Source organism: Homo sapiens, chromosome 9 (genome assembly GCF_000001405.40).
Source record: "Homo sapiens chromosome 9, GRCh38.p14 Primary Assembly".
Taxonomy (NCBI): Eukaryota; Metazoa; Chordata; class Mammalia; order Primates; family Hominidae; genus Homo; species Homo sapiens.
This window is the reverse complement of record NC_000009.12, coordinates 121,139,177-121,153,273: the sequence shown is the minus strand read 5'-3', so window position 1 is coordinate 121,153,273 and position 14,097 is coordinate 121,139,177. Positions and strand designations below refer to the sequence as shown.

At 40.9% G+C, this 14,097-nt stretch overlaps 1 protein-coding gene across 43 annotated transcripts in view; it reads right to left on the bottom strand.

Moving 5' to 3' along the window:
- The window catches only part of CNTRL (centriolin), a 102,656-nt gene that overhangs the window by 24,337 nt on the left and 64,222 nt on the right, over nucleotides 1-14,097 (bottom strand). For 42 of the 43 annotated variants that reach the window (XM_047422667.1, XM_047422671.1, XM_047422669.1 and 39 more), the window contains 10 exons: nucleotides 12,488-12,633; nucleotides 11,686-11,893; nucleotides 11,004-11,183; nucleotides 9,192-9,371; nucleotides 8,315-8,431; nucleotides 7,889-8,030; nucleotides 7,018-7,166; nucleotides 4,413-4,602; nucleotides 2,791-3,104; nucleotides 581-789 (listed from right to left, as the gene is read on the bottom strand). In XM_047422667.1, coding sequence (XP_047278623.1) covers nucleotides 581-789; nucleotides 2,791-3,104; nucleotides 4,413-4,602; nucleotides 7,018-7,166; nucleotides 7,889-8,030; nucleotides 8,315-8,431; nucleotides 9,192-9,371; nucleotides 11,004-11,183; nucleotides 11,686-11,893; nucleotides 12,488-12,633 — 1,835 coding nt within the window. Of the gene's footprint in view, nucleotides 1-580; nucleotides 790-2,790; nucleotides 3,105-4,412; nucleotides 4,603-7,017; nucleotides 7,167-7,883; nucleotides 8,031-8,314; nucleotides 8,432-9,191; nucleotides 9,372-11,003; nucleotides 11,184-11,685; nucleotides 11,894-12,487; nucleotides 12,634-14,097 lie in introns of all 43 variants that reach the window. The other variant, NR_163191.1, reaches the window with a different exon arrangement.

Sequence of the window (14,097 nt, the reverse complement as noted above, 5' to 3'; positions counted from 1 at the left end):
AATCACATGGGAAAGTGGAACAGTCAGATTTGCAGTGTGTCAAGATACAGCGTAGACCAAGAGAGAAGACATGGAAGGCCAGTGTGGAAACTATTACAATCGCTAGGATGAGACTAATTAAAAGCTAGAGAAGGGGAGATGACAGAAAGGGACCAGTTTGAGAGCTCTCTGGATGCAGTCAGCAGGATTTAGAGACCAACTGGAAGCACAGGAGAGTAATGGAAAAGAAAGAGTTGAGAACCCCTGCTGTATTTTTAGCTAGGGTAACTGGAGAGGGGAAATGGTTATACCACTCTCCAAGAGGGACTACAATAAGAGCTGATTTGTATTATTGGCCAAAAGAACTCAGACCTGTATTGCTCAATATGGTACTCAATATGTGGCTATTAAATTAATTGAAATTAAATTCTGTTCCTCAGCTCCATCAGCCACATTTCAAGTGCTCAACAGCCACACTGAGCTAGTGGTTACTGTTTTGGACAGAAGATCAAGAACATTCCAAGATTATAGAAAGTTCTGTTCGACAGCATTAATGAACTAATATCGTATTTGTCTGAATTATAAAAAATATATTAATTACTTTTGCTGTTGACGTTTCTGGACAGTTCTATGTAATTCTTCTACTTCACACTCTAAGCTTTTCTTCTCTTGCAAAAGATCATCAATATTATGATGCAGTTCTTCCATTTCTTTCTCCGACTGCCGCTTGGATGCTCTCATCCACCTTTCTTCCCGCTTCTTTGATTTTAAATGCTGCATTATGTCTTCTAATCTAGAAACTTCATTCTCCTGAATGAGATGGGGAAAAAAATGCAGTGCTGAAACATCACAGGATGTTTCCTCTCTTTCCTGCCAAAAGCTGAAATTAACTGTGGTTAAAGTGGTATCAATGGCCCAAAAAATGATGGTAGATTCTAAGACTTTGGTATAAAAAGTTAAATGTCACGGATGAAACTGACAGACAAATAGAACCTTTAATTTTTCAAACAGTCCAACTATGACTGAGAAACATTTGCCAAGCCTCTTGTGGATAACCTCTGCCTCCAAAGAGTTCGGGGTCTAGCAGAAGAGATAGACAGAAGTCTCTCCTTCCTCTGGCCACATGGGAGAAAAGTTCTGAGAAGGCTGCTCAGAGGAAGAGGTGTTTTGCCTGGGTTTTGAAGAACGAACGGAAGGGGAAAGACCTAGGCTGAAGAAGTAACACATGCAAACGAAGGGAAGTATAAAAGTGCACCTGAGAAACTATATAAACAGCCAGGTAAGTTTGGAGAGTAAAAGAACCCGTTTAAGAGATTATAGAAAAATGCTGAATAGAAAGAAATTGTTACAAATTACAATGTGCAAGAAAAACTGCAAAAGAATGTGAGTGACTACTACAGTTAAACTTGTAAATGCACACAGACCCTCTAAAACTAGTCTGACCTATTACAATGGGACTGGTGACTTGACATGTGCCCTAGTTTATCTTCCACTCAATCTGCCAAGACAGGAAGGAAAAAACTCCAGGTGTTCTGAGTCTGAAGGAGGAGCTTAGATTCCATTTTATTTCTTTAGAACCAAAAAGTCAGAAAGTAATCTAATGAGGCTGGGCGCAGTGACTCATGCCTGTAATCCCAGCACTTTGGGAGGTCCAGGCAGGCGATCACTCAAGGTCAGGAGTTCGAGACCAGCCTGGCCAACATGGTGAAACCCCCATCTATACTAAAAATATAAAAATTAGCCAGGCGTGGTGGCGTATGCCTCTAATCCCAGCTACTTGGGAGGCTGAGGCAGGAGAATTGCCTGAACCCGGGAGGCGGAGGTTGCAGTGAGCCAAGATCACGCCACCGCACTCCAGCCTGGGCGAAAGAGAACAAGTCCGTCTCAAAAAAAAAAAAAAAAAAAAAGAAGAAGAAAAAAGAAAAAGGAAGTAATCTAGTAATTAGGAAATAATTATTTCTTAGAATCTAGCCTAAGAGATACAGTAAGAATTTACAGTCAGCTACAGTACCTACAAATATAGAAATGTTGTACAGTCATTAAAATATTGTTTAAAGACATTTGTAAAACCATGGACAAATGCTTATAACATTAAGTAGGAAAAACAGAATACAAAATATTGTGTACAATAAAATATAAACTATGAAAATAATAAATAAATCCCACCACCTAGAGATAATCCCCAAAACCTTATCCCCACCGAAATATAAACTATGAAAATAAATAATAAATAAATCCTACCTAGAGATAATCCCCACCAAAACCTTACTGTATGCTGTCCATACCTGTGTGCATACACGTGCACATACATGTGTATACACTCATATTATACATATATGTATGTGTACAAGTACAGGCACTAGTAAGTGAATATATACATACACATTAATATAACACTTGTCAATAGAAAAATACATAAGCTTTGTAAAAACGGTAAATTTCTGGACTGAAAACATTTGTTATTAAATGGCTAACCCAGGTTTGTAGACTGGCCTGAGACCCTAACTCCTGTACATGGTATTTTTGTTTTTTTGGTTTTTGTTTTTTGCTGTTACCGGGGCTGGCCTTGAATTCCTAGGCTCAAGCAATCCTCTTGTCTCAGTCTCCTGAGTAGCTCGGATTATAGGCACATGCCACTGCTTTTATAAGAGAATTTTAATAAGAGAATGCTTGCACAGTTCTAAACATCAGCCTTACAAACACACTTTGCCATATAATCCAGTCATAAATAGGTCAACTCATTAAGTATATAACCTTATCAGTCACCCATGGAAGCAGTGTGGAAAGAGAGTTGTATGTCTTTCCACTTACTAAGTTATGGTGTTCAGGGACGTTGCAATGCAGCACACCCATAGGGATGAAGGGGATGGAGAAGTTGGGGGGTGGAGGCCCATACACCATGGGGGCCCCAGCAGGAGGTGGGCCATAAACAACAGTGCCAGGGGTGAGAGGTCGGCTATTGTTTGGCAAGGGAGGAGGTGGTGCATACAGGGCCATGCCCTGGGGTACAGGAGAACCATCAGGAAGCACAGTATACATCATGTATCCAGGAGGAGGCACAAATGGGGGTTCTTCTTGGTCATCCAGCTCACTCTCTTCCTGACTATCTCCTCCACTGTCTGCATCTTCAAAGAAATAAACAGAAGAGTTTATTCAACAAAAGAGTGTTTTACCCCCATGGTTTACCAGGTAAACAAATTTAGTAGAGAACAGCAGCATTTAAGCCAAGATACTGCAGATGTGAGAATAAAACTCTGAAAAAAAGGTCAAAACTATTTTTGAAAAGCAGCTCAAAACATGGATTCAAAGTATTTTCTATGGCTGATACTTGAGTTTTTCTTATGTTTATCTGTTGGTTTGTTTCTGCATTTGCTAATTTATTCATTAATTTATTAAGTGACCATCTGGGTATCTAATTCATGCTACATACAAGATCTTACAGCACTCAGTGTTTACCACTGTCATGACATGTAACACTCTCCAACGTGATAGCTTACTAACTTATCTGCCCTAAAACCAGGAAATATGTTTGCTGATCACTGACAACAGAGAACCTAGCACACAGCAGGCAGTCAATAAGCACTTCCTGGACACATACGGTGGCTCACGCCTGTAATCCCAGCACTTTGGGAGGCCGAGGCAGGCAGATCACTTGAGGTCAGGAGTTCGAGACCAGCCTGTCTAATATGGTGAAACCCTCATCTCTACTAAAAATATAAAAATTAGCCAGGCATGGTGGTGCACGCCTGTAATCCCAGCTACTCGGGAGGCTGAAACAGGAGAGAGAATTGCTTGATTCCAGGAGGCGGAGGTTGCAGTAAGCCAAGATTGTGCCACTGCACTCTAGCCTGGGTGACAGAGCGAGACTCCCTCTCAAAAAAAAAAACAAAAAACAAAAAAAAGTTTCTGAATGAACAAATTCTCAGAAGGTAGTATTCACATTTTACAGATTAACAGTTTCACAGCAGCTAAATAATTAGCCTAAGACCACACAGCTAATAAGTGAAAAAGATTTACTCAGGTCTGACTCTTCCTCTGGAGCTTTGGAAGACAGACCCGTAACACTTCATTTTAGGAGGATGAGATTAATGCCGTGATGCAAGGACACAAGACACCATGCTCCAGTACAGTCAAAGAGGCTGCTTAGTCAGCCTGGGTGAAGCAGGGTGGAAGAAGGCTCCATTTAGGAGCATTGTTTGAGGACCTAGGTCTCACTGAAGGATGAGTAGGCATCACCATGGGAAGGGAAGGAGGAAGGACATTCCAGACAGGGTTTAAAACAACGACAAGAGGTCGCTGGCCAAGACCAGATCACAGAAGACCTCATGGAGCTAGCTAAGGAGTCTGGATTGTGTCTTAGGGGTTTCAGAGAATCAGTAAAAGGTTATTAAACGGGCAAGAGAAATGCAACTTTCCTATGTGATTTGACTTACCTCTACTTGGAAACAGTTTATGTAACCCACTCCTGATGGGAGAATAAACCCAGTATCCTGAGGCAGGGGGAGGTTGACTGCCTTCCTTCCCATCCTGCTGCCCAGGGCGTGGTTTTCTAACAGGAGTTGAGGCTGAGTACTTAAGGCCAACACCAGAGTCCTTGGTGGCCTGGGAACTATGGCTGGAAACCTAAAACAAATGACAGCAGAGCACACTATCTATTATAAATGGAAAGGCTGATTTTAAGAAACGTCAAAGTCTACAGCAAAGTTGAGATGTAGCAAGGTTGAGAAAGAACTTGGCTTCTTTTCATTATCCTTATTTTTCACAGAAGTGAGGTGATTACATGGTCACATAAACTGCAGTTCCATACACAATTCAGCTTATTAACATCCCTCTGGACTTGATCGACATGGCAGGGTCAGGGAAGCCATGCAGAAAGGAGGGCTATGTGGGTAATGGCTGGGGTCACATCAGACTGGTCTGTGAAAGTGAAGGGCTCAAAGTGTGGTGAAAGCAAACAAATTAATGTCTATTTATCCTTTCAAAAGCCATTTTAAAACATCCATCTCCTATCCTCTCTTTTGGTACAATTTTCTAGAACTCACAAGTCCTTGGCCATACCAAAATGGAAAAAGCATGTTATCTAGCTGTTTGACTGGGTTAATTTTATGCAGCAACTCCCCAAGAGAGAAATGAAAATAAGTTCTCCATAGTGATGAGACTCCCGGGTGTCAGCCTCTGTTCTCTCTGTAGTCATTTTTCCTAGTGGTTTTTTGTTTTGTTTTGTTTTTAACCTCATCCTTGATGGCCCAGTGACTGAGGCAAAGGAAACCAGTGAACTTCGAAGAAATCTGGGGTCACCAGTCTTCTGTGGTCCTGGGAGCTTGGCATGGCTTTAAAGCTCTACTCTGCTACCCTCCTTCTCCTTCTCAGTCTGTAGGTACATCCTCTAAACCCTCACCCAGCTCAGGCTTATATGTTTTGCTCTAATTTATACTGCTTCCACCTCCAGCTCTGGTTGTACCAAGGAGTTGGCTTCCTTTAGGATTGCTGGGAGAATCTAAGATTCTGCTCTTCAGGGGTCTGGTTAAGTCTACACAGCCCTGAGAACCTAGTGTGTCTGAGCTGCTTCTCCCTGACTATTGCTCATCGGCTGATTCTAGCAGGATAGCACCAGGCCCCTCTGCTTTGGATGAATACAGCCTATAGTCTTCTCCTCACTTTCAACATTCAGGCCCCAGTCTTCTCCTCACTTCCCACATTCAGGCCCCAGGCCCTAACCATTTCTCTTTAACATCCTTTAATCTCATCTCCTCTTTCCCAGCTCCACTGATCTAGCTCTGGCTTCTACTCTTTACCTGAATCAGTTTAAAGAGCCCCACCGAAAGCTCACCCTACCATAAGTATAGACTCTATACTAGCCAGAATATTATTCCTAAACTACAGCTCTGATCATTTTAGTACACAACCCATTTCTCATGGCCTACATAATTATGGCCTACATAATTAAGTGTAAGAGATTCTAAGGCCCTTTTAAAAAAGCATGACTCCAGGCTGGGCACGGTGATGGCTCACGCCTGTAATCCCAGAACTTTGGGAGGCCAAGGTGGGCAGATCACCTGAGGTCAGGAGTTTGAGACCAGCCTGGCCAACATGGCAAAACCCCATCTCTACTAAAAATCTAAAAATTAGCCAGGCGTGGTGGCGCATGCCTATAATCCCAGCTACTCAGGAGGCAGAAACCGGAGAATCGCTTGAACCCCGGAGGCAGCAGTTGCAAGGAGCCAAGATCACACCACTGCACTCCAGCCTGGGGGACACAGCAAGACTCCGTCTCAAAAAACAAAAAGAAAAACAAAAGCATGACCCCAATCTACTTTTCAGCTTCATCTGACACTGTTCCTATAAACCCTCTAGCCCCACAAAGCTATTTGTCTTTGCTAAGCCAATAACTCTCCTCTTCCATACGAGCTGTTTCCTCCCTCCTAAAAGCCCAACGCTCACTGCTTGCTAAGTGCTGACTTCACATCCCTGCTTGTGAAGCATTCCTTCCTGAACTTCCCATCAGATGAATCCTTAATACCTCTCTGCAACTAGAGAATACAGGTCAGGTCTGTTGTCATAGGTATGTCACCATTTTGCAATTATGCTGGCATGGCCAATGAACTCTTTGAGAGCAGGGGCTTTACCATTCATTGTGATGCCCCACCACTACCTAGCACTTGGCCTAGGCTTCAGTAAACACTGAATGAATGTTCGTTAAAAGGACATGAAATCCAGGTGCCTTTTTTTCTGTCGGAGGCTCTGCACAATTCTATGTCCATTTCAGCAGGCTCTCTGGGCTCAAATCACCTTTTCTCCTTAGAGCATCCACATTCAAGGACCCTAACACATACCGCCCGAGTATGAACAGTCAACTGTCACCTTCCCCAAGAAGGCCCTATTTTCATCTCAAATATTAAAAACGCTACAGAACCTCAATGCACGGCTTAGCATAGAAATGTTGTTTTTGGTACCTGTTCATAAATTTGGGGAAGGGGACAATGTCACACTTTCTTCAAGAAAATTCAGTATACATTCCCAACACCACAGAATTCCTACTTTTGATGATGGTGGTGGTGGCATAAAGTACCAATAGCCTCGTCTTTTGAAAGGATCTGCCATGCTGCTTATGTAATCATTCTGATAAGAAACTTCACGTCGAAGTTCAGCAATTTCTTCTAAAACATTTTCAAAGCCTCCTTTGTTGTCTGTAAAGAAAAGTCATTCTATGAAATTGATATGAAATCACTTACTTCCTTTCTCAAAATATAAAAGAGATTCTAAGAGAGCCAATTAATTTTATCAGTTCCTCAAAGCTGACTTTCAGTCTGCCCTTTGGTAAGTCAAAAAAAGGCAAACTGATTTGTAAACATTATTTATTTTGAAATTACAAATACAAAACTCTTTTTTTCTTTTTTTGAGACAGAGTCTCACTCCGTCATCCAGTCTGGAGTGCAGCGGCCCAATCTCGGCTCACTGCCAACCTCTGCCTCCCAGGTTCAAGTGATTCTCCTGCCTCACCTTCCCGAGTAGCTGGGTTTACAGGTGCCCACCTCCATGCCCAGCTAATTTTTGTATTTTTTAGTAGAGACAGGGTGTCACCATGTTGGCCAGGCTGGTCTCGAACTCCTGACCTCAAGCGATCCACCCACCTCAGCCTCCCAAAGTGCTATGATCACAGGCATGAGCCACTGTGCTCGCCCACAAATACGAAACTCTTATCTTGGCAACCAAGTCCCCCAGTAACACACTTACAGAAAATACTCTTAAAATTATCTGATTTATTTTATTTTACTTATTAAGCTAATTACCACAGCTCTCTGAATCAAGCATGGACTTGATTTGTAACAGTTAAAGGTAAAAAACAAATGAGATGATTTAATTTTATGACTACAAAACCACTGCCAAAAATCAAAGCCCAATACTTTACCACTTCCAGTGAGGTCTAGTACATTCTGCAGCCTTGCAATCTCTGTCCTTTGTCGTTCCATTGTCTCATTCAGTTTCTCAATTTCTAGGACCTGTGAGTTTGCTCCAGTACCTACACCTGTTTTCTCCATCTCAAGTCGAAACTATTTAAAAAAATTACACATACAAAGTTGCCAATGAATTCATTCTTTCCCAAACACATTTATCCTTTCAACTTGATTATGATTCTATATTTATTTACACTTTCCCAGTGAGGAAACTGCATTACTTGGAAACTGCACCAAGCCTGGCACACAGTAGAGGATAAAGTACTTATTAACTATTGATTGCACTTCAGAATTCTTTGAGACATCACCTACAGTAATTTTGTCTTTTAGGAACTGATAAGAATCTGAGAAAGAGGAGGTCTCTGGGTACCAACACTGACCTGCTCCCCCTTCTGCCTGAGGAGATTCTGCAGGAGTTCGATCTCAGCTTCTGCTCGGGTGAGATCTCTGGCTGCTTGTGCTGCCTTTCTGCTGAACCTCTCTGCTTCCTGCAACTCCTACTGGGACAGAAGTATGAGAAAGGCACCACTGCTATCACAGGTTGTCTTCTTCATTTCTTCCTCTTGGATTGATTCTTCTGCTTTCATCACATTGCCTACCAGGCTGTCCATGAAAAGGGACATCCAAGCCCCACCTTCTCCTGTGTTGTTCCCATTGTTGGGCAGCCTGCCCAGCTCCCAACCCCAAGGTGCGGCATCAGAAAGAACAAAGGCTAATTTTTTTACTTTTTTACTTTTACTACCGTCTTCCATGATTATGTCTCTCTGGGCTCTCATCATTAGATTTTTGTCTCCTATGATCTGCTATCTTAATCTCATTAGCATTTGCATCCTATAAAGCACAGTAACAGACATTAGCTCAGTAAGGAGTCATACTATGAAGTAACATTTTCACATGACTGCACGAGATGAAAAATTTGAGATTCAGAGGGATTATATAACAATCCTTCAGGAACCCTTGTCCAGGTAGATATTGACAGCTACCTCCCTAAGCATCCTTACACTTAAAGGTAGGGATAGCATGTTTATTTGATGATTCCTTTCAGGGCTCAGTAGAACGCAGTATCCATGGCAGCACAAAATAAATTATTGGGGGTTGTGATGGGGGGAATATAATCTTTAGGTCTTAAGAAAAACAGACAACTTTACAGTGGTTTATAAAATAACCAATGTCTATAGCAAGATCAATAATACAAGTTGCCATGTTTTTTGACAGCAGCATCATTGATGGAAACCTGTTCTGTACATGTGAACTCACCTCTGCTCGCTCCTGGTTAATTTTCATAACAGTTCCATGAAGGGACTTCAGCTGGTCTTTGGCAATGGTGAGCTCAGCTGTGGCTAGCTTATCAGAGGTGGCCACGGCTTTCTTTAGTTTCTTCAGTTCTTTATCTAAACCAAAAACTTGCTCCTGAGATTTGGCATCTTCAAGTTTCTTCTAAAATAAAAGAAATATTAATTAAACAGATGAATCATTTGGCAGGAATGAATTCAGATGTAAGCTCCAGGAGGGTAGGGACTCTGTTCACTGCTGCCTAGAACAATACTTGATACACAGGAGGTACTCCACATATATCCAATGAATAAATAATAGATCTCAAAACTGTGAGAAACTTGTACTAGGTCTTCTTAGTCAAGAATCTTAGTGGTCATAACTTCATCCATTCATTGGAAAAACATTTCCTAGCACTACCACCACGGCATGGATGAACCTGCCTTTGAAATCACTGAATCAGGCCCTGGGCATAGGATGGTGGCACAAGAATTTGGCATTTTTGAGAAAATGATAGGAGGAGCACAGTGAGAAATGGAGAGATCTAAACAGAGGCAAATCATGTAGGCCTCGTAGGCTTAAGAATTTTGGTCTTACTCCTAAGAACAAAGGAAGCTACAGGAGGGGAGACTGATTACAGCCACTTGACATTTCAGAAAGAGCATCTTGGCTGCTCTGGGGAGCAGGGTCATGAGTAGAAGTGACAGATCGATCAGACAGCCACAGTAGTCATCCAGAAGAGAGATGATGACAGCACAAGGGTCTAGCATCAGAGAAGGAAAAAGGACATATATTCCAGATACATTTTAGAGATGGATTCAATAGGACTTGGAAACTGAAGAGTTCTCAGGGAAGGATGAAGCAAGGCATTCACTGAGGCTGGGAGAAAGCAGACAGCAGGTGTGAGGAATGAGAAGGTGTGAAACAGTGAGGCATGGGAGAGGAAGCTCACCACAGAAAAGGGTCATATTGTCTATTTGAGATTGGTAACTATGAGTTTATAATGACACCACAATACTGGATGGTGACTTTTTTCTCCAGGAACAACCAGTGGAAGTGCTGGCCCAAAGAAAGCAGAGAGCTTCAGTTTTGTCAGGGAAATAAAACAGTAGAAAAGGGCAAGGAACTTGAGGATATTTGTTAAAAAAAAAAAAGTTATAGTTGGTAGACCACAAAATTTAAGTTGGACAAGTAAGAAAGTAAAGACAAGGGCTTAACAGATAGCAAAGGTGGGGGTGAGGCTAATGAACTGGAAGCTCAATAAGGCTGACAAATTTTAAGTGTGTGGATACCAGCAAGATAAGCGGTTATGATCAGAGCAAGACACTTCAGTTTGTGATTTCAGAGGTGGGTGCAATTTTTAAACTTGACAAAGTCCAGAATGTGACAATGGGAGTAGATGGTTGAGGTGGAATGGAGAAAAGCCATTAAAGAGAGGCAGGGGTATTAGAAAGGATGATGAGGAGTTTAAAAGTAATTTCCCATGGATGTATCCAACTGGACAAGAGGTTTCAAAGGAGTCAAACTCCTCCCAATATCATTTGTTAAGTACCACCTAATTAACTTGAAAGTCACTCCTTACATTCTCAATTCTCGTTTCCATCTACCACAACACATGGTCTTAGCTTCTTGATTCAATGACATGCATCCAGGTCCCACCTAGGTCAGGTTCAGCACTGTGCCAGCAATGCAGCCAGAGGTGACTACAGATCACACCCATCTCAGCTGACCTAGTTGCCAGTGGGCAGGACACTGGCAGCAGGTACTTATGTGTCTCATTTTCTAAGTCTCCCCTACCTTTTTCTCTAACTCTCGGAGTTGGGCCAGAATTCTCTCCTTCTCTTCATCAGCTTCCTGAAGTTGGAGATCTGTAAGGCCTTGGATTTCCTCCATACTTTTTAGATTTTCTTGCAAATAGTGAATTTCATTCTCCATTTGCTGGATTCTTGCTTCATGTTGCCTCTTATCAAAATTCATCTGTGAAGAAATACAATTTCAAGAATGATTTTTAGGCAAAATATGTTTTAAGCAAAATAAAAACTTTTTATAGAATTATCACCCATTTTACAACAGGCTGTAACTTAATTTTTTACTAATGAGTTGTCAGGAATGGTTTTATCTTGAACGATCTCTAGGAGTCATTGGAATGTTTGCCTCTTCATTAAAATCATCACATCAAAAAATACCAGATTCTGGCAACACACCATACTCTAGGAATGTGGCATTATTTACCTGCCTGTTATAAAATAACTTGCCTTTGCTTCTAAATCAAGGAAAACACAATGTCACAAACAAGCCTGACTTTGACATTATAACCACATTCAGGGTTGAGTTTTAGTCACACCCAGCTTGACTTGTTATAAGTGAAAATAACAACAATTATGTTGTATTTACATGACAAAGGAAGCATTGTAATTTGCTGAAAAACATTAATATTTGCCAAACACTTCCCTCCAGGTGCCTCTTGCCCTTGTCTTACTCTTGCTTCCAGGGCTCTCTCACAGGCCTGCCTGAACTCTTCTTGTCCAGTTGCCAGTTTCTCTTGCTGCAGAGCCATTTCTTCTTGGAGTTTTCTCTCTCTAACTTGTGCTTCATCTCTTTCCCACTTGGAGCGTGCAAGAATTTCACTGAATTGTTTCTGTAAATCAGCAAGACTTTTCCCTAAGACATCTGAAGGACTATGGATGCTAGTAAGGAGGGGGAAAAATGGTATAAATGTGACATTTAATTTTTGATGCTGGCTGCAAACATGCTATTAACTTTAGCTCCAGAGTAAAAAGCTGTGTGCAGGGACTGGTGTCAATCTATAGCAATTTACTGACCATCTCCTAAGCGCAAATTATTGCTTTATCAAATGACTGCTGCCACTCTGAAAACATAGGCTCATATCAGGCTAACAATATTTGCTCCAAGAATAAATGTCCATTTCATATATTTGAAATAATTATGTTTTCTTTTGATGTTTCTTCTCTATTTAAAATGTATAATGTGGCTCTACTTCCTGACCATATATAATTAACTTTCAAGAAACAATAACTCTTAAATACCAAATATTACTCTTAAATACCAAAAAAAAGATCCAAAATGTAAAAACAATCAGTGGCAGACAAATAAATTAAACAATCTTTTGTCTCAGTCATGAAAACTTCATAAGGAGAACCTTACAAAAGAAATTTGCCATTAACAGAACTTAGAAAGGTGAGTTTATCATTGAACCTCACACTCACAACTCTCAAGTTGTGAGGCCCACTCTAGACTTGGAGGTCTTGCTTTTTCCTTACTTCATTTCCCCAGTTCCTAATTTCAGTTTTCTTCTTAGCTCATCCACACGAGCTGCCACTTCTTCTGGACGAACCAAACCATCAACCACATGGTTAAGGTGATTCTGGAAATCTTTAAGTTGCTGTTTTAACAGATTATTGTCATCCTATGGAGGGGGATGAAATAGGGATTATCTATTACATGCCAGCATATTTTCACTACTAACGAACTAACAAACATATCTAGACCACAGAACTAAATTCAGACAATGCCTCTTTCAAGTAAAAAGAAATTTCTAAAATTTCCGTATGATTAATCTACTTCAAACTCAGTGTAACAATGTTAACTGAAATGAAGAATTTAGAATGCAATTAACATGTTTTCAAGTGCCTGTTCCATCTGGAGTCCTCTTTATCTGTAAACTGTCCATGCCCATTGCCCCAAGGCAGCCCTTTCTGTAGTACTATCTAATCCTGGCCATAGATCATCTGACTAGAGGCCAGTCAACACATCAACTAGCCAGAAAATAGGTTCTCATTCTCTCCATAATTTGAAGCAAGATTCAGTACAGCAAGCCTATATAAATGCTGGACCTGAAAATATGTTAAATCAGGGCTGGGGTCTATGCTGGGCCACATACAATGCTCGGAGAGATGGAAAAAGAGAAATGAGAGAGCCCCTATATCAACATGAAAGGCAGAGCAGCTCTGGTTCCTAGCAAGCTGTCTCCTTTCTTGAGCTAGTGTGAGTAGGTTTTGGTTCATTGCAACTAAATGATTTCTGACAAAGACATGTAGAGTGGGTTTAACTTGTACTCAGGAGGTTAGTTGGCCAAGTAATCAAAGAATCTAGTTCTAACTAAGGTAGTCCCACAACACGTGTCAGCATTCTAGAAAGTTGACTTCACTTTCTACTTTGGAGAAGCCCCCTGAAGAATATTATATTAGTCCTTTTCTGCAAGAGATGTACACTTAAGTATTTGCAGGTGAAAGAAAGATGTATGAAATTTTTCTTTAAAATATTCCAGCAACAAAAGAGGTGGACAAAATGAAACAATGAATGTTGACAACTGTTTAGGTTGGGCAATGGGTAAATAAGGGTCATAAGCTATTCTGTTTTTGTGTTATATGCAAATTTCTATACTAAAAATGGAAAATGATAACTCAAGTAAGACCCAACATACACACACACCTCACATAGTAATGGAAAACATGTATATCTTTTATGATATTTGCTTCAGAAGTGGAACTGAGAGCAGTAAAAATTAAATTCCAGGTTATTAGATTTCTTTAAACTTCAAGGAACAAATATTTGAAGTGTTAGAAGAAGAGAACATTTGGGTGAGTTTAGTCTTATTTCTCTCAAATCCCCCTACGTAGTTTTTTTTGGAACCCTTCCTCCAAGCCACATAAACTCTGCCCTTTTATTTCTGGTGATAACAGCTACCATCTCAGCCAGCCAAGAGGCCCGCAACCTCACAGATTTGGAGAACTGAGTGATGATTCAGGTACTTGTTTGTTCAGACATCTGTCTTCTTCGAGAGTTTAATTATCTGAAAAATCCTATCCACCTGTTTTTCCTGCAGTTTGTTCAGCAGATTACTGTGAGAACAGCTATAAAAATATTGACA